We start from the raw sequence: 20,370 nt of genomic DNA, 5'->3' as shown, positions 1-20,370 counted from the left end.
GGTACAGTTGCTAGAATCAATAGACCGAGGGTGATGTGTGATTATTCACTGAAGTCCATGGTTAATGCATATGTCCTTCGTCTTCACCTGTTGTCCCTTTTCTGTCTCAGGATCCCATCCAGAATCCCACGTGACATTTAGTCATCACGCTTCCTGAGGCTCCTCTTGGCCATAACAGTTTCTCAGACTTTCCTTGGTTTTGACAACCTTGACAGTTTTGATGACCTTGACAGTTATGATGACCTTGACAGTTATGATGACCTTGACAGTTATGATGACCTTGACAGTCTGGAGGAGGACTGCTCAGGTGTTTTGCAGAATGTCTCTCCATTGTGATCTGTCTGTTTTTCTAGATGGAAGTTGTGGGTTATCGGGAGGTGAAGGGCTATTTCCATCACATCTTTTCAAGGGTACAAGATGGCTCCTCACTGTTGGCATTGACCTTGGCCGCCTGGCGGAAGTGTCTGCCGGGCTCCTCCATGGTAAAGAGTCTCTTTCTTTGCCCTTATTTATACTCTACTCTTTGAAAGAAAATCACTAAGTGGAGCCCACCTCAAGGGGCAGGGAAATGCCCTTGAAAACACTGGGAGATGGACAGATTCCGGGTATTTAAGAAATCTCCATCCAAGCACTAGCTGAGCCCAGAGCTCATCTAATACTACAATATTATTACCCTTCTTGGTTCAGATTCTTCCAGCTTTGGTCATTGGCTGTTTTTCAAGGGCTTCCATGTCCCTTTGACATACCTCAATCGTTTTGCTTCTTGAGGTTTCCTTACTTTTTGGCACCACGTGGTGCTGCTGGCTCATGCTTCTCGATTTCCTGCCCCAGTTTTTGAATCTGCTGTTTTTCCAAGGAACCTTGAATCCTCCAGGGAATGGTGTTAGAAACCAAGGCCTGGGTGCTGGGGGTGCTCATGGATACTGGGGTGCTGATGTGTTTAGTGTTTTTCAAGGGACAGAGCTTGGAAGTATGTGTGCACATACTGTGTATATACATGTATCTATAAATAGCTCTGCATGTAACTGTATGGATCTCTAGTAAGCCCAACATGAGTTCTTGCTGGTGTCTCCAGCCCTAACCCGTGACCTCATGGGTCATTTAGCCTCATGCTGTTATTGATATTTAACTCTCACTCTGACAGCAAGAAATCCAGCTCCCCCATCCACCACCCATCATACGCATTTGTTCTGACTCAGCAGCAGACAAAAATGGCCTCAGAACTGTTAACCCACACCCCTGTGAACAACAACGCTAACATCACTACTTTTGAATTTAAATAACAGGTACATGATGGCAAAATGAATAAACTAATCATTTGGGATTTGGGAAGAATTTTTTTAAGGACATTCTTCTACTCGATGCTCCAAATTTGAATAGGGAAAATTGTAATTGGCACATCACAATAATTTTTCGTAGCGTTTTGCATGTAACATGTGCTCACCTCTGTGATAATGAAGGAAGCACAACAGCTGGGTGCAGACAAGTCCTCGGAGCATCAGGCATTCAGGGAGGCCCCAGGCTCGGTGCCTTATTCCTGGACATGTTTGCATTTTGCACTAAATCACTCTAGAGCTGTAAGGTGCTTAGTGCCGTTTTATAAGAAAATAAAGTGGATGGAAATCTGCCAAAAACATCTGGGATTTCTGTTTGAAGAAATGGGGGACTCTCCCCAGCTAAAAGAAAATGGACCGTGACCAAAATGTGTTAAATCTGATCTGATTTTGTCTTTATAAGAAGCGTACTTGTTGACCTGGTGTGCTATGGTGAAAATTACACAAGCAGGGGTTTTGCTGCGGTAAATCCAGGGTGGTAATTTCCAGGTGGTAATAAGAGGTATATTTCTCTGATGGCCCCCACTGCCTACCTGGGCTTATTTCTGACGGTGTTCAGCTCTTTAAAGAAGGAGCTCGTTGGTAAAATATACTGCAGCTCAGGCCGTTTGGTTTCTAAGCAATCAGAATTCTTCCATAAAATGCCCAAGAGCTCGCTGACACACACACACAAACACACACGTGCCACATGCACACACATGCATGCACATGTACTCACACACAACCCTTGGTAACCAAGAAGTGCAGATCTCAGCCAATCTAGAGGTTTATTTTTGCCAAGGTCAAAGACATGCCCAGGAAAAAGAAACACAAGTTACGGTAAGATCTGTGGCTATCCTTTTGCCAGAGAGGGTTTTGGGAACTTCTTTTTTTTTCTTTTAAGATGGAGTTTTGCTCTTGTCACCCAGGCTGGAGTGCAGTGGAGTGATCTCAGCTCACTGCAACCTCCGCCTCCTGGGTTCCAGCGATTCTCCTGCCTCAGCCTCCAAAGTAGCTGGGATTACAGTGCCTGCCACCACGCCCGGCTAATTTTTTTATTTTTGGTAGAGACGGGGTTTCACCATGTTACCCAGGCTGGTCTCAAACTCCTGAGCTCAGGTGATCCGCCCGCCTCAGCCTCCCAAAGTGCTGGGATTACAGGTGTGAGTCACAGCGCCGGGCCGGAACTTCAATATTTAAAGGGGAAGAAGTGAGCAGAAGGGAAAGGAAGAAAGGAAAAAAAGGGGTGGGGTAGACAGGCAGTGAGGCAAGCAGCTACACTCCTCTGAGGCTTTGGTAAGTGCTCAGTGAATCTACTTTGCACATAAGCCCAAGTAAACCTGTGAAGTGACAGCTCTCTGGGAACAGAAGGAAGGCAGGTTGTTTTCCTCATGACTCAGTTCGCAAGCTTCACTTTCCCTTCAGCACAGTGAATTTGGGGTCCTGACACCCTGCTTTTTCCTTTTGCTCCCTCTCTAAGGAAAACACGCCTGTGGACAGCAGCCACAGTGGCCGCAGCCCCTCCCTCGTGCCTCAGTGCTCCCTAAGGCTCCGGAAGCTTGGCCCGGTCCCTGAGAGAAGACCAGGAATGAGTAAAGCTGACGTTTCCATCACTGAGTCTGTCGGAGGCTGGAGTCAAAGAGGAGCTGATGTACAGGCAGCGGTGCCACAGCTTGACACTCCTGAGCCTGTGACCCAACTTTGGGCTGTGCCGTCATCTCGGCTGCTGAGTGTTCAGGTGGGTGATGTTGAGGGGCTGCACTGAGTGCCTCCTGTCAGGGCCTGGTGGTCTGTGGGGGAGGCTGCATGCTTCACCCAGTGTGTGCCTAGACATCCTCTTTCCATCTCCTCTGTTCAAAGCGACCCACAAGAGCTGCTTCTCACACAGAACAGCCCGCTCTGGAGCCGGGTGGACGAGCCCATCCCCGTTCTCGGAGCCCATCACACACACAGCACTGAGTGCTTGTATGAGATGCAGATGCTCCGACCTTCCCTAGATGCAGTGAATCGGAAGTGATGGATTAGGCCCAGTGACCTGTGCTCCAACCTGCAGGTGGTTCTCATGGATGGGGAAGTCTGAGAACCACTGAGTCGGAGACTCACACTCCCCCGGCCCTCCAGGGGCTCCTGGAACAGGGAGTCAGCTGGGGGTGGGGTGGGGCCAGTGTAACTGGGTCCTGTGGTAGACAAAATGTTTCTGCCCTACCCCCCGGTTTGTATATTGAAGCCCTAACTCCCAAAGCGATGGTATTAGGACCTTGGAGGGTAATTAGGGCCAACGAGGCCATGAAGGTGGCCCCCAGGGTGGGGTTAGCGCCCTTTATGGAGTGGGGTGAGAGCAGCTTCACACTCTCTGCCCCATGAGGGCACAGTGAGGTGGCGTCTTCTAGGAGCCAGGAAGCCAGCTCCCGCCAGACTCCGCATCTGCCTGTGCCTTGATCTTAGCCTTCCAGCCTCAGGATGTAAAGAATTAACATTTCTGATTAAACTGGCCAGTGATGTTTTACTGTAGCTCAAGCTGACAAGACAGGCCGTGAAGAGCAGTGGGTCCTGCTGGCAGTGAGGCTGCGTGGGAGAGGCGCTGGGAGCGGGTGAACATGGAGAACCAGATTCCCAGAGCCCAGAACCTCCGAGCATCGTCCAAGGTGGGTCAGCTGTGCCTCTCCCGCACCTCTTCCCGCCCCCACCTGCCCAGACCAGCCTAACTACCACCTTGGAGACCCAGGCTCCACTGGAGCAGCCAGGCAGGGTGGTCCACCCTCGGCCACAGAAGAGCCCAGAGAGGCAGCCCGAATCCACCCATAATGATGATGCCCTGTGCCCCTGGGCCTGAGCCTGTCTGCTCCTGCAGAGAGAAGGAGGGCATGTAGCTGGCATTACTGGGCTCTGGAATACAGTCTGCGTCCCCTCCCGAGATCCCCTCCCCATACCCCGACCATCCCTGGGCCGTTTGAATCTATGCCCCGCCTCTCCGCATCTCTCTCTCCTTCTGAGAACGCCCTCGCATCTCTCTCCACAGTTATTCCAAAGCCTGTTTCCTCTTATTTCCCAAAGACCCCCTTGAAATCAACTTTCTCCACTTTCTAAATCGGTGGAGACAGAGAGAAAACGTGTTTTTCTTCCGGAATTGAATTGCTCTCCTGCAGACGCATGCCTCAAACTCTGGTCCTGGGCATCCGGTTGGATTTCGGAGGAGCCTGTGGAGGGCAGAGGTCACAGCACCTGAGTTCGGCAGTGTGACCCTGGCACCGGGGAGGCGCCTCGTCCGCCCCTGCCCTAATATCTGCAATGTCCTGATGGAGTCTTGCAGAATTAGCGATGTCTAAGAGTTACAGGTGGGGAATTCACCCTGCCCCGAGCTCTGGGAGAGGAAGCCCGGAGCCAGCCTCGCAGCCTGAGACAGAACATGATGGAGAGGGCAAAATAGCCCCTGGATCACCCAACGTTAGCTCAGATCATCCACAATAAAAGCAAACAAACAAAAAGCAAAAGCTCCTGCGAAGTGTCTACATGTCCACGTAGCAGAATTGGGTCTATAAATTACGTACGGTGATTCCACGCAACCTCGAAAAAGAATGAGATAAGGAATCATCCATAAGATACACTGTGAAGTGAAAGAAAAATTAGCGTGTCACATAGCAGGGTCGTGGCAGCCATTGATGTAAAGTCGCATAAGAATCTATGGCTGCCGCCTAAATGCACCACCAACGCCGCGGCTTAAAACAATGCAAACGCATTCTCTGAGGGTTCTGTGGTCAGAAGCCTGGCGTGGGTCTCCCTGGCTGACGTCGTATGGGTGGGGCCGGGTCTTTTCCTGCACACTCCGCAGGTGGCCCCCACCCCGTGCCTTTCCCGCTCTCTGAGCTCTGGGAGCTTCCTGAGTCTCAGAAAGGTGGGTCCAGTGCTTCCACATCACAGCACTCTGATCTCCCCTTCTGCCTCCCTCTTCCACTTAATAAAACAGAGTTTATTTTTTAGAGCAGTTGCAGGTTCATGTGAAATTGAATGCAAGGCACGGGGAGTTTCTGCAGCCTCCCTGCCTACCCAGGCTCCCCCGTAGGGCCGTTCCCCACTGTGTGTGCATTTGACAGGATCCCTGAGCGGATGACACTGAGCATCGTTATCGTCCGCAGGGGAGATGTGCAATCTGTGGGCTTGGACAAAGCCGTAATGACAGGCATCCCCCATTAGACTATCATAGAGTTTCCCCTGCCCTAAACATCCCTTCCTCCCTCCTCATTCCTGGAAACCCCTGATCTTTTTATTATCACCATGGTTTTCTGTTTCCAGAATGTCATATGGTTGGAATCGTACAGTGTGGAGCCTTTTTAGACCGGCTTCTTTCACTCAGTAATATGCATTTAAGCTCCCTCCGTGTCTTTTCAGGGCTTCATAGCACAGGTTTTCGGCACTGGGATGATGCGCCATTGTCTGAAGGCACCGGTTCATTTCATTCTCCTACTGAGGGGCATCCTGGTTGCTTCCGAGTTTTGGTGATTATGAATAAGGCTGCTATAAACATGCCTGTGTGGGTTTACATGTGGGTACAGGTTTTCAGTCCCTTCGGGTAAATGCCAAGGAGTGTGATTCCTGGATCCGATGTTAAGAGTCTATTGAGTTTTGTAAACTGTCTTCCAAAGCTGCTGCACCATTCTGCACTCCTACCAGCAATGAACGAAGGTTTCTAGCTCCGTGTCTGCAGCATTTGGGGTCAGCGCTTTAGATTTGGGGTGTTCTAATAGGCGTGTAGTGCGGGCTCGTCATCATTTTAATGTGCATTTCCGTCATGACACAGAGTTCCGTACTTCCGGCCCAGGGATGCATGTACACACAGAGTCTTCTAGAAGCAGAAATGCCTCATGATTATCTTCAAATCATAGAGTGTTCTGCTCCAGCCAGGGCTCCCATTTGATTTTCCCGTGAACACACACATCCTTTATGTTGCAGAGCTCCTTATGTTGGCTCTGGGCAGCGGGGCCCACAGGGACCTGATTTTCTTGCTGCCCCTGCACCGATCGCCGAGCAGAGGTCCTCCCTGGATGGATTTGCTGCCGCTTTGATCTGGTGCCTGCTTGGTGTTTATCCTGGGACTTATTTTCTGTCATTTAAAAGTGGAATCTTCAGGTTGGTGGGAAGATAGAGCAAGACCTGGGATGGAGGAGGTGTCCAGCCTGGCCTCCTCTGCCCACCAGGAGCGTCTCCTCACAGCCCTGTGCCCTCCCTCCTGTTCCTGCCTCTTCCCGCCCTAGTGACCTGTACATTCCTTTGGGGGCCGACACTGGCTGGTTCACTTCCCCTGTCCCCCCACACCCCTAGTTCAAACACAGCACAGCCTCCTGGAGAGTATCTGCTAAGTAAAAAGTCAGGTGACATTTCATCCCTGGTTCCACAGTACGCCCACCTACCTCTGGAAGGCCAGCCACTGCTGGCAGGGTGTGGCAGGATGTGATTCTCAATTATTTGGTCAGATCAAGCTATTAAGAAGATGAGATTGAAGCTCCTGTTGTAATGAGCACGCCGGCTGATTCATGATGGACACGGCTGATGCGTGTTCTCATGACCAAGGTCACACGGGATCAGCCGGCGGCTGGGGCAGGGCCTCTGTGTCTCCTGGGGAACCCGGGTCCAGGCACAGGGACCTGGGTGGGGAGTGATGGACCATGGGTCAGTCAGGGACTCGAAGACGCTTGCCTCTTGCTTGAGGACCAGACCAGTGAGAACCGGAGTTACAGTGAGGACAGAAAACAGCCAAGCTCAGATTGGAAAATGAACCTCCCTTCTTGCTTGTTCAAGACTTCCACCTCCATCCCTGCCTGGACCCAACACAGCTGTGAAAGATGCAGCCACGGCAGAATTCATTATCCCGACATATCCGGTTTCTGCAGAGGAGCAGACCCAGTTGCACATTTATATAAAAGGGAAATAAATTCAAGGAATTTGCTTTGGTCATGGTGAGGGCTGGCAGGTCCAAACCCTGCAGGGGAGGCAGGAAACTCATTACGCCCAATCTACAGATGAGAAAACCAAGGCCCAGAGAGGGTAAATGGATTTTCTGAAATCACACAGCTAGAATTGAATGTTGGAATAACAGCCAGGGAGCTGGTATCGTGTTGGCTGTTATTTCTTCCTGTTTCTCAGACCTGTAGAAATGGGATCCTCGGGACTCAGCCCACTGCTTCTCTCTCTCTCTCTTATCGGCGTTCTTTCCTGCTGTCTCATGGCTTTGAACTCCGTCCAGACACTGGCCTCCCCTGAGTCATCTCTGCCTCCAGCCCCGAGCCCTTCAGGCTCCTCCATCCGGCTGCCTCCTGCTCGACCTCCTTAGGGGTCTTTTGGGCATCTCACCCTTAACTCATCAGCACCTGAGAGTGGACACTGGACATTCTCTTCCCCACAAACCTCCACCACCTTTGTTCATATGCTAACTCCCTCCCTCCAGGTGTCTACAAAGCAAGGTTTCCTCTCACAGCGCATGCACAGTCCATCTGCAAATCCGGAGGGCTTGACCTTCAGAATCTACCTAGATCTGAACCCTTCTCACCGTCTGTCTGGCCACCACCCTGGCCCAGTCACTGTCCTCTGCAATCAGGTTATTGTCAATGACTTTCTAAACTGTCTCTCTGCTTCCACTCCTGCTCCGCTTTTAGGGTCCTCTCTGCAGAGCTGCGGGGTAAAACCTTTCGAGTAGTTCTGACTCATCACTCCTCTTACCAGACCCTGCTTGGCTCTGAATTTCTTTCAGAGTGAAATAAGTTTCTTTACAATGAATATGAGGCTCCTAGGTGGCCAGTTCCTTCTCTACACTCAGCCTCATTGCCTCCCCTTACTCAATCTGTTCCATCCTTACAGTGCCCTTCCTTGTCCCTCAGACCACCAAGCCCACTCTGGCCCCAGGACCTCAGAAGCCCCACCCCATGAGACTCCAGTGCTCAGCTCCCTCAGGTCTAATGCACAAAGCCAGTGAACTCTGCAGTGTTTTAACCTGCCCTCTTCTCACGCCCCTTTCTGCAGCTCTGTGGTTGACTTGAAGATCAACAGCCTGCCATCTCTGTGAGCCCAGCAGCCCAGCACTCACAGGGAAGAGGAGCACAGGGCTGGGGCTCCTTCCAAGCCTCATTTGCAGAAGACTGTCATGACTTGACCTGTCTGGCAGTTTCTGGAGGACCTCACTTGCGAGGGTGTTTTTATTTGACCTGACTCAGAACTCGCACAATACAAAAAGCCTTCTCCCTGGAGGTGTTTGTTGAAAATTACTGGAGGAAATTGTTGAACTTTGCACCTACCTGAGGTGGTGGATGAGAGTTGACACAAACATTAGGCTCACAAAATATTTCAAAGGAAAATCTGGGGAATGAGATATCCTCTGCAGTTCGGAAAATCTCTGACATATTCTTGGGAATCTAGAAAGCTACCTGTGTGCATAGAGCTATGTGAATGCTCAGGAAAGATCTGAGAAGTTGTTCCTGAGCTTCCACCCTAGATGACTTTGAGCTTATGCACACACAGGAAGTAAAGCTATGCAGAATTGTACACTTGCTGAGTGTGGCGGGCACACCCCTCATGCACACAGAATATCCCTTCCAAACAGTCTGGGGGACGGACAGATTGCAGGTGTTTAAGACGTCTCCATCCAATCACTGGCTGGCCACAGAGCTAATCAAGCAGAGATGTTAGTGGCCAAACATGACAGAGAAGACATACTTTACAGAACTAGTTAACAAGAGTCACCAAACAACGATGACAACAAAAGCAAAAACAAAAAGCAAGAGCAACAAACCCCGGTTTGGAATCTGATTTGGAATCTGAGGGTAGGAATCTGATTTCCAGAGATGCCACATCATAGTATTTAAAATGTCCAGTTTTCAACAAAATATCGGTGGCATATAAAGCAACAGAAAGTTATGGTTTTATACATATAAGAGAAGCAGTCAGTTAAAACTATCCCTGAGAAAGCCCAGGCATTGGACTTAGAGGACAAAGACTTAAAATCACCTAATTTTAAATATGGTGATTTAACAAAAGGAAACCATGTCTAAAAACTAAAGAAAAGTATGAGAACCATGTCTCACCAGTGAGGCAATATCAGTAAAGACATAGAAGCTATAAAAAAATAAATTTCTGGAGTTGAAAAATACAATGCCTCAAGTGAAAATTCACTAGAGGAACTCAACAGTGGGTTGGAATAGGCAGGAGAAAGACCTTACAAACTTGAAGGTGGGACAATTGAGACTATTCAATCTGAGAAGAGAGAAAAAAAAGAATAAAAAAATGAACAGAGACTCAGAGACCTGTGGCATGTCATTAAATATACCCACACATGCACGATAAGAGGTCCCAAAGGAGAAGAGAAAGATATAAATGATTAGGAAAAAAGGTTTAAAAATAATTCCTGAAAACTTTTCAAATTTGGCGAAGAAAACATTAGTCTATAGAATTAAGAAGCTTAGACAGTTCCAAGTTGGACAAACTCTGAGACACATAGACACGTTATACTCAAACTATCAAAATTCAAGAGAGAATCTTGAAGACAGTAGGAGAGATGTGACTCTTGTGTAATGGATCCTTGGTAAGATTAACTGTTCATTTCTCATCAGAAACCATGGAGAGCAGAAGGCAATGGGATGAAATTTCAAGTGATCTATGCTGGGCGCAGTGGCTCACGCCTGTAATCCCAGCACTTTGGGAGGCCAAGGCAGGTGGATCACCTGAGGTCAGGAGTTCGAGACCAGCCTGGCTAACATGGTGAAACTCTGTCTCTACTAAAAATACAAAAATTAGACAGGCATTTTGGTGGGCACCTGTAATCCCAGCTACTCAGAAGGCTGAGGCAGGAGAATTTCTTGAACCCAGTAGGCAGAGGTTGCAGTGAGCCGAGATCACAACATTGTACTCCAGCCTGGGTGTCAGAGCAAGACTCCATCTCAAAAAAAAAAAAAAAGAAGAAGAAGAAGAAGAGGAAGAGGAAGAAGAAGGAGAAGGGGAAGAAGAAGGAGAAGAGAAGAAAAAGAAATTTCAAGTGATCTAGACTAGCCCAATCAATCTTGACAAGGAAAAACAAAGCTGGAGGGTTCAGACTTCCCAGATTCAAAACTCCCTGCAGAGCTACAGTCATGAACACCGAGAATCACTGAACTGCACACTTTTTTAAACAGGGTGAATTTTATGGTATCTGAATTATGTATTGGAGAAACTCAAGCCCGTCAATATTGCTGATGTCTTCACATGTGAGCAGTATCATGGTTGTGCATGCGAAGATTGAGCCTCCTTACAACGAGTCACTTTAACATCTCTGGCGAGTGCGTGTCTTGGTGTGGAAACATACTGGCATTGCAGACAGTGCTGCAAGTGGAATGGTCTTATAGTGGAAAACATCCATGCTGTCTGCATAACAGAAACACCCACAAGAAACAGCCTCCTGCAAGACGCCCAAATGTCCCTGTCCAATCTGCTAACCAGGTGTGTGGCTCCTCACCTCTTTAAATCTGTACAACATCAGCTGGGCCCAGTGCATGTTTTTGAATTTAAAATTAAAGTCAGATAGCATGGTTATAAAAATATCTGCTCTTTGACTCATTAATCTTGGTAGGAGATGGAGAACACAGACATTTTTTTCTCCCCGAACTCTTAATGAAGGCTTTGAGATACATGGATAATAAATCTGATTTCCCAGGCTTGACAGCAGCAATTAGCCCTGGCCACTCTATTTGCATTCGCAGCCCGGAAAGGACACCTGGGACCCCCAGGCAACCCCTGCACACAGCAGATGTCCACCTCCCCCATCAGCAGGAATTGTGTCTCTGGTCAGCCAACAGCTAAGTGGCCCCTTGTGCTGACCTCATAAACAGTGATGGATTGTGGCTGTTTAACTCGAACCCTGCGGCAGCTCAGGGCCCCATGGAAGGGGCAGCGGTACACGCTCCCAGGTTTCCGGGGTTCCCAGCGCAGGTGGCAGCCAAGGACACAGCTTGCTCATGAAGTCTTACACCTCCTTGACTCCCCGTTTGTCCAAGTGAGTTGGGAGATCGTTTCATTTATGCCTTGAACAGACTGCCCTGTTCTCCCACCGGACACCTACGAAGTCTGCCATTATTACGGGCTGTTTTTCTACAAAGTTTTTAGGGGGAAAGGAAACCCTTCCACCAAAATGAATTATCCTCTTTTTTGTTCTCACAGTGAATATTTAATAAATGAAGCAATTTAGAAGCCATTTAAAATGTTATTGGAGAGGCTGGGCCTTAGAAACCAGCACGAGGGACAGTGTGGGCCACTGGCCTGCCCCAGGCAGGTGTCCAGCCTGGCAACAATTTCAGAACCATAAATAAATCAACACAGGATTGCCAGGACAAGGAGTTCTCTGGAATTAAAAAAAAATTAAAATATACACAAGTGTTCCCAAGAGACACAAGTGTCCTCCGCAGGCACCTGCGTCCCCACTTCATGCTGTGGTCCTCTTCCTCTTTGCTCCTTTCTGTCCACGCAGAGGAGCACACGGCAGAGAGCAAAGCCTTCCTATGAAATGTGGGCGTGCCATCCTGCCACAGGGGAAGTGTCGGTGCAATTTCACGAAATGAAAGGGCCAATATGTGATCATTTTCATGGCCCACCGTCACTGGTTTCTACTTCTTAACTGGCAAACACTCTATCAATATTACCAAGGACTTATCAAACAGGCCACATTAAAAAATGCTGTCTGGCCAGGTGCCAGTGGCTCCCGCCTGTAATCCCAGCACTTGGGAGGTCGAGGCAAGAGGATCACTTGAGGTCAGGAGTTTGAGACCAGCCTGGCCAATATGGTGAAACCCTGTCTCTAGTAAAAATACAAAAATTAGCTGGCCATGGTGGCGTGAGCCTGTAATCCCAGCTACTTGGGAGGCTGAGTCAGGAGAAACGCTTGAACCCGGAAGGTGGAAGACGCAGTGAGCTGAGATCGTGCCTTTGCAGTCCCGCCTGGGTGACCGAATGAGACTCTGTCTCAAAACAAAAACAAAAACAAAAAAATGCCGTTCTTCAAATAGCTAATGCATGCAGGGCTTAATATACCTAGGTGACGACGGGTTGATAGGTGCAGTATACCACCATGGCACACATTTACCTGTGTAACAAACCTGTACCTTCTGCACATGTATCCCAGAACCTAAAATAAAATAAAATAAAAATGCGTTCCTTATCCTCGGGGGCTGTGTGTCCACATCAATGCAATTTCACCGCCCCAGGATGGATCAGGACACACTTCTGAAGTTGGCAGGTCCACGCTGACCCAGCAGAAATCACTCCCCACCTTGTCCACTCACTGTGAAAGGTCCTGCTCACACAGAGGAGCCTGGGCTGGAGGGTCACGGCTGCTTGGAATTCCCCTCGGTTTCCTGAACACTCTGGGTTCAGCTTGTACTCCAACTGCTCCCCAGCTTCAGAAGATCCTGAGAGGCTGGCTCCAAGGAAGGAAGGTAGATGTGCCCTCCCCACCTTGTGACCACATCCAAGGTCAGGCAGAATGTGGTCCGCTGTGTCTTTCCAGCAATGACGCTGAACCTGGGCCAGGCAGCATACAGGCTACAAGGGCCAACACCTGGCCCTCCAGGAAATCCAGGAGGGACGTGGACTCCAGGAAGTCAGGCTGTGAATCCCGGTCTCGGCTCAGGCCATGGGCACAGGCACACAGGGGTGATGCCAGGCAGGATGGGGGTGGTCCCGAGACGGCAGCAGCACATATATATCCTGGGACCTGAAGGAAGACCCTGGATGGGTGGATATAATGTGTGCAGGGCGCCAGCCCCGTCTGCAGTCCCCCCGGCTCAGTGCCGCTCTGAGCCCAGTCCAGCCAGGCTTTCCCAGGGATCTGATGCACACACTTCAGCTGGGGCTGGGGGATGGGTGTAAAAGCCAACTTGGAAAGCAGGAGAACCAAGAAGGAATGCTTGCTTTACCAGATGTTAAGAGTTTTCCAAAATCACAATAATGATGATGAGAATGATAGTAGTGGCGTAAACAATGGCGTAACCCTAAACACTGAGGACCTGTGGGTGGCAACACAAATCAATAGTTGTGATGGGTAATGCTGAATGTCAACTTGATTGGATGGAAGGATGCAAAGTATTGATCCTGGGTGTGTCTGTGAGGGTGTTGCCAAGGGAGATTAACATTTGAGTCAGTGGGCTGGGAGAGGCAGACCCACTCTCAATCTGCCAGTGCAGCTAGGATATAAAGCAGGTAGAACAACGTGAAAAGGCGAGACTGGCCTAGCCTCCCAGCCTACATCCTTCTCCCGTGCTGGATACTTCTTGTCCTCAAACATCGGACTCCCAGTTCTTCAGTTTTGGGACTCGGACTGGCTCTCCTTGCTCCTCAGCTTGCAGATGGCTCATGGTGGGACCTTGTGAGCATGTGAGTTAATACTTAATAAGCTCCCCTTTTTATATACTTCTATCCTATTAGTTCTGTCCCTCTAGAGAACCCTGACTCGTACACTGAGGCAAAGAGGACCCCCCAGTAGGTACTGTGGGTGATCCCGGCTCACTCTGGAGGAGAGGACACCTGGATCCATACCTGATCCAACACGTTAACATGGATCCCAGGTGGATTCAGGCCTGAATGCACAAGGCATAACGTTAAGCTGACAGGAGACCATGAGGACGAATATCCTTGAGGCCTGAGCACAGGGAACATGGGACACCACCAGGCAAGACCTGGGCGACTTCTCCATCAACACGGAGTGGTTGTCTCCAGTACACGACGCTATGGCCCAATGATCAGCTGAAAGAAAGCAGAACGTCAATGAAGAACTAATGTCGTGACTAGAGAGGCGATTCCTACTTCAGAAAGAAAAAGACAGAAAGCCCAATGGGAAGCTGGGAAAAGGCTTCCCAGGCTCATTTGAAATCAGTGAAATACAAAACACATCCTCGTCGCTGCCACCACCACTGCAGAGATGAGAAGCCAAATTACAGGTTTGAGGACCTAGTTATATTCCTTGTAATACCTTTTAAAATAAAATCATTAAACTATTAAGATAATAAACAACTGCCGTGTGCCCCAAAACCCCCTCCCATGCCACCCCGTGCCCTCCTCTTTGGAGTCTCCAAGACCCACCCCAGGGAAAAGTTGAACGTCAGCCAACTTCAGAGTGGTCCCAGTGAGCCGTGGAGTGGGTGGGGAACGCAGGGAGGTGGGGGCCTAGTGAACTCAGAGCCGCGTGGCACCACCCTCTGGTGGGCTGGCCCCCCGGACACCGAGCGGAGTGAAGAGGCCCTGTGGCCGCTGACCAGGCATTGCCTGTCCCGGGACGGTTCCAGAGGAACAGGAGGAAAGCAGCACAGAATCCTCTTGTAGCTGAAAATGCACATCCACACAAACCTTCTGAATCCTACACACAGGCCAGTGCACTTCAGCACATGGCGGAGAGAAACACACACCCCTCCAGAGCGTCCGTGCCAACCTTCCAAATCCTACACACAGGCCAGTGCACTTCAGCACATGGCAGAGAGAAACACACACCCCTCTAGAGCTTCCTGGGGGAGACCTGGCTGGTTGTTTTGGAATTGCTGCTTCCCTATCACCAGTGCCTTGTAGAAGTGTCCCCACCTCTCTGTAGCCTGGCAGGTGCTTGGGGAGGGCTGAGCACCTGGGTCTTGCTGCGGGTCCCAGAGCAGAGTCCCCCCTTCCCCTGACCCCAATCTTTGGGCTGAAGCCCATGACAGGGGCCCCACACCAAGGCAGAAGCAATTATTTGAGAGATCAAAACGTTGCTCCCTGGATAGAAAGCCTGCTGATGGTGTGGCTGAATCCAAGGACGACGTCGTCTGTAGAAACGGACGTAGGAGGTGTGCTTAAGGCAGGATTTCTGTTCCTAGGGTGTGTCTTGGAGACTCCAACGAGGAGGGCACAGGGTGGCATGGAAGGGTGGTTTTGGGGCATGGGGCAGTTGTTTCTTATCTTAATAGGTTAACGATTTTATTTTAAAAGGTATTACCAGGAATATAACTAGGGCGTCAAGCCTGTAATTTCACAGTGATATAAAGTTGTCTTCAAAATAAAAGTAAGACAAGAAATGGGTCGACTGAGAGGAAAAATGTAAGTTTAAGTGCACGAAGGTAAGAGGAGACCAGGCAGACGTGGCTGCGTGGCTCTGTGGTGAGCAGCGGGGACAGGTGTCCCTGGTGGCTAATTGAGTTGACCTTCTGTGTAGGGTTGCCAGATATAGTCCAATTAAATATTGAAGGATTCACACCAAAAGTGTCTGTGTTTGTTTTAGAATAATTGAACTCAGACCTTCATTTCTGACAGCCATTAGACAGCAGATCAGCTGATTTCTGAGACGATCCTAGTTAGTGACAATAAAACCAAGCCGTCAGCGTATAAGGCAATGTAGTCTTCGGTTTAATTACTGTATCAGCCACTTTAGAACTGCAGAGGCATTTCCAATGACACAGTAACGAGGGCCTGAAAGTTTAATGTCGGCCATGGCATTTGCTGAATATCAAGGAGACATTTGCACACTTTTTATTTTTGCCTGAACATTTTCATGCATGATGACGGATTTTGAGCTGATTTTTTTCCGGTAATGTAAACTGTAATCCTGTTTAGAGTTCATTTACCCTATAATTTGCAATGAAATTTATAAATTTAAAACATCATAGTGACACTACCAATAGAACTTAAACAGTTTTTATTTTTATTATTATTTTTTTGAGACGGAGTCTCCCTCTATTGCCCAGGCTGGAGTGCAGTGGCATGATCTTGGCTCACTGCAACCCCTGCCTCCTGGGTTCAAGTGATTCTTCTGTCTCAGCCTCCTGAGTAGCTAGGATTATAGGCATGTGCCACCACGCCTGGCTAATTTTTGTATTTTTAGTAGACATGGGGGTTTCGCCATGTTGGCCAGGCTGGTCTCGAACTCCTGACCTTAGGTGATCAGCCCGCCTTGGCTTCCCAAAGTGCTGGGATTACAGGTGTGAGCCACTGCGCCTGGCCAAACTTAAACAATTTTTAATAACGATCTCAAAATTACTATGCATGGTGGAAAATGGAAGTATTTGATTATCACTGACAATGATAAAAGTTTCACATTTTTAGATGGTAAATCACATATGTATATTTTACTTCTAACCCAAAATTTTTTAAGTTTAATATTTTTATGGATTTTTCAATTTTCATAGACATTTTATTTTTAATAACCCTGTGTCTGTGACAAAGCATCACAGCTTTGGTGTGGGTTAACTCCTGGTGACGTCCACACATTTGGGCAAGTTCTAAAACGTCGGTGCCTTCACCTCCATGGAGAGTCAGGTACCATTAGGCACAGGTGGGGTTTGATGTAGGGTGGGTTCCCAGCAGCCGACGGCTTCCTTCACATTAGCTTCCATGGCAGGTGTTTTTGGACCTGATTCTTTGGTGTGTAGATGCGTGATCCAAACAGTAGATGTAATTGTCACTCAGCAAGTATCGAGCCCCTCCTCCTTCTGCTGCATGGGATACATTTTCCCTCTTGGGAAATCTGGGTCTGGTCATGCATCTGCTAGTCGAGTGCTAGAGGGCGTGGTGTGAGCCGTAGCCCCGTAGATCCTGGATCTGGACACACGCGCCATGATCTGGCCTGGACAGCTGCCGCCCTTCAGCCTGGACTTCCCATCACACCTCACAGTCCAGACTCCAGTTCAGCTTTCAGCTTTGCAACCGAGCTGCCCAGAAAAGCCCAGAGCTGGAGGAGCAGAACTGCAGCCGCCCTGCAGGTTTGTGAGAGTGAGAATGAACACTCCTCATAGAAAACTAGCGGGCCTGGGGATAGTGTTTTCCCCAGCTCCATCGTAGTAACACTGGACTGATGGATTACACGTTGGCCTCGTCAGAACCATGACGAGAATGTGGAAGCTGTGCACAAGTAAAAAGTTTACCCAAGATCCAACATTTATTGAATTTAAAATAAACGTTATATAGGTGGACTTCACTGTGATCTCCTCAAATAATGCATTTGTTAGAATATATTCACCTGAGACCTCAGAAAGCGCTGGAAGAAAATAAGAAACTTAAGAGTGGAAACCATGAATGTAGGTACTTTTCTTTGTAAAGACAGAATTTTAGAGCAAGAAGGAAAGCTAAATTGCATCTAGCCTGGTAGTTTCTGTCTTGGTCTACCGTTTTTCTTACAGGTTTTCAAAGCTAGTAGTGGGGGTCTGAGACCTGTCTATAGTCGCTGAAGAAGCCTGAATGAGCCGCACACCTGCCCTGCATGGTGCACACAAGAGGCCAGTTCCAAGGACACCCAGCTGGCCATGTGACAAAGGTGCCTGTGGGGCCCCTGTTTGCCCGGGGACTTTCCTGAAGTCTTCTGTCCCTGCTGAAGGCATGGGAGGTACTTGGCTTGTCCCCTCCCCGGGGACGCTGGCTCCACCACAGACTTGACCTTGGGGTTTGGATTAGGGTTATGGCTGGGGTTAGAGGTTAGGATTAGGGGTTAGGGTTAGGGCTGGGGTTAGAGGTTAGGATTAGTGGTTAGGGTACAAGTTGGGGTTAGAGGTTAGGATTAGGGGTTAGGGTAAGTGTTGGGGTTAGGATTAGGGGTTAGGGTTAGGGCTAGGATTACAGGTTAGGATCAGGGGTTAGGGTAAAAGTTAGGGTTAGAGGTTAGGATTAGGGTTAGGGTTAGGGCTGGGGTTAGAGGTTAGGATTAGGGGTTCTGGTTAGGGTTGGGGTTGGAGGTTAGGGTTAATGTTGACACCACTCAGCTTTGCTGCAGCAACAAGCAACCTTCAAGTCTTGACTCTTGCTTTCAGGACTCTGGGTCCCTGGAGACTCACCTGCTGAGTCTGTGCTCCCTTTGAGGGTGCAGTTGTGAATGGGACATGAACATGCCTCTCTGCTCTGCAGGGTGGAACCTCAACCAACCTCACACCTCCCTCAAGCTCATGGTCCTGATGCTGAAACTTGGGGCAGTTCAAAAAGCCAGTGGCTTTGCCCAAGCCAACTTCTTCACATCCACAGAACAGGAAGTGCCTCTCCTGGGGGCAGCAGAGCCAGGTGAGGGTCTTTCTTCTGCAGGAAGGGGACCCGATTGGGGGTGAACCTGGACCCTGCGCCCTGCGTGGGAACCCTTGATGACGGGACACTGAACCCCCTTTCCAGGTGCCTGCACACCCCATCGTTGGGTCTCTGCAAGTCTTCCAGGCCCCATAGGGTGAGAGCCTTGGCCTGACTCCCAAACTTGGACTCCAAATCTTGCCTGCTGTTGGCTGGTCTGTGAAGGACTTCATTTAATGTAGGCTCAAGAGTTCCTTACGTAGGTCATCGCTTTGTGAGATGTGAGAAATCATCACAATTAGTGACCACATGCAGAACGAGAGCCACAGCGTGCTGTCTGGGTCCTGGGTCCTGGGTCCTGGGCCCTTGGATGGTGTCGGCTGCTGCTCCAAGCACCCAGACAGGCGCCGGCATCTCTGGTGCTGGGGTGTCCGTGCTGTTGCAGGGAGTTGGTTGTGACTTCTATTCCTCTTACCTTCTCTGTCATCCAGCAAGTTCGTTACTGACTGAGATCTGTTGCCATTGACTAGGCTCACGCTGCCATATTTGGTTAAACCTGGGCGGGAGCTGGGTGACGCATGCTGTTGGTGAGCATTTCTGACTTAGAGTGTTCTAGTAATTTCACTTGAAGACACACAAAATGCTTCAAATGGGAGTCATTTGTTCATTAATTTGTTGGACAGATGGATGAAGAATGCCCCCAAATTTGCCTGTTTGGAAATATTTAGCATTATCTCTGAGTTCCTTTTTATGGAAAACGAACCGGTCTTGTAGACGGGGCCAAGGCTGTCCTTCCGCCCTTCCTAAGAAGCCTTGTCAAAAGCATTTGAGGAGCTTCCTGCAAGGGATTCCATCACGGGGTTCACAGAAAGCTTGGCCAGGAGAAATTAGGGGATGAAGCCTTGATTGGGGCTGTGACTCTGCAGCTTTTGTTCACCAGCAAGCATCTCGTGTGTTCCAGTGAGCCCAGCCCCGACACTCCTGCACTCCTGCACCCCCCACTGTGCACCCCCCCGCCCCCCCCATGCACTTGCTGACCCCAGCACAGCTGTGAGCCCAGCCCTGGCAGCCCTGCGCCCACCACCCACCCCCGTGCACTTCCCAACCCCAGCACAGCTGTGAGGCCAGCCCCGACACCCTGCACCTCACTCCGTGCACTCGTGGACCTCAGCACAGCTGTGAGCCCAGCCCAGCCCCAACACCCCTGCACTCCTGCGCCCCACCCCGTGCACTCTCTGACCCCAGCACAGCTGTGAGCCCAGCCCCCACACCCCTGCGTCCCCCCACCGCCACATGCACTCACTGACCCAGCACAGCCAGGCCCTGTGACCCTGCAGCACGCATTCACCCTTGGCCATGTGCAAAGCTAAATGGAGCTCTTGGACAACCTGTCTGTGGGAGATCCCCCTGGAAGCTTCCCCGGGAAAGCGGTGCGGAGTTTGCATGGAAACCACCACGTAGTTTGTGTTGAAAATGCTAACACTTAATTTCAAGATGTTTAATTAAACAGAGCAGAGCGGCTGGGACATCTTTGAAAGGGATGAAGAGTTGTCACGGACATGAGAAAAGAGTCAAGCAGGGCCTGGAAAATAGAAATCAGCCATGTCTGTGGCCCCGAGAGTGTTTGAGCCTGATGTTGGGGGGGAGCGGGGGTGGGGGATGGTGGGAGGTGAGGTGGGACAGGATCGCTCTGAGAGCTCCTGTCGTTGGGGTGGGCAGATTCTTTGGCTTCAGGTCAGCTATTGTGTTTTAAGTTGACTGTTTGATTTGTAAATTAAGAGGAAAGAGCTCTACGGGGGGCAGCCAGGGAGCTGTGGCTTTGGGTCTCCAGAATGATGCAGGCACCGGGGAGACACAGGATGCCTTATTCTCACTCATAGGTGGGAATTGAACAATGAGAACACATGGACACAGGAAGGGGAACATCACACTCTGGGGACTGTTGTGGGGTGGGGCAGGGGGGAGGGATAGCACTGGGAGATATACCTAATGCTAGATGACGAGTTAGTGGGTGCAGCGCACCAGCATGGCACATGTATACATATGT

General features: G+C 49.7%; 2 annotated features.

The window, feature by feature from the left end:
- Positions 6,014–7,213: an enhancer, noted in NCBI's record as "CDK7 strongly-dependent group 2 enhancer chr22:49678386-49679585 (GRCh37/hg19 assembly coordinates)". NCBI's record gives its function as "activates an origin of replication core promoter dependent on BRD2, BRD4, P300/CBP, MED14 and CDK7 cofactors, with strong dependence on CDK7, by STARR-seq in HCT116 cells {active_cell/tissue: HCT116}" and the evidence as "EXISTENCE:reporter gene assay evidence [ECO:0000049][PMID:35650434]".
- Positions 19,831–20,370: an enhancer, noted in NCBI's record as "NANOG hESC enhancer chr22:49665229-49665768 (GRCh37/hg19 assembly coordinates)". NCBI's record gives its function as "activates a minimal SCP1, AML or CMV promoter by ChIP-STARR-seq in primed H9 embryonic stem cells {active_cell/tissue: H9 hESC(primed)}" and the evidence as "EXISTENCE:reporter gene assay evidence [ECO:0000049][PMID:30033119]".

This window comes from Homo sapiens, chromosome 22 (assembly GCF_000001405.40).
Source record: "Homo sapiens chromosome 22, GRCh38.p14 Primary Assembly".
NCBI classification, from domain to species: domain Eukaryota; kingdom Metazoa; phylum Chordata; class Mammalia; order Primates; family Hominidae; genus Homo; species Homo sapiens.
Note: the sequence above shows the minus strand (reverse complement) of the source record. Positions and strands in the feature narration are given on the sequence as shown.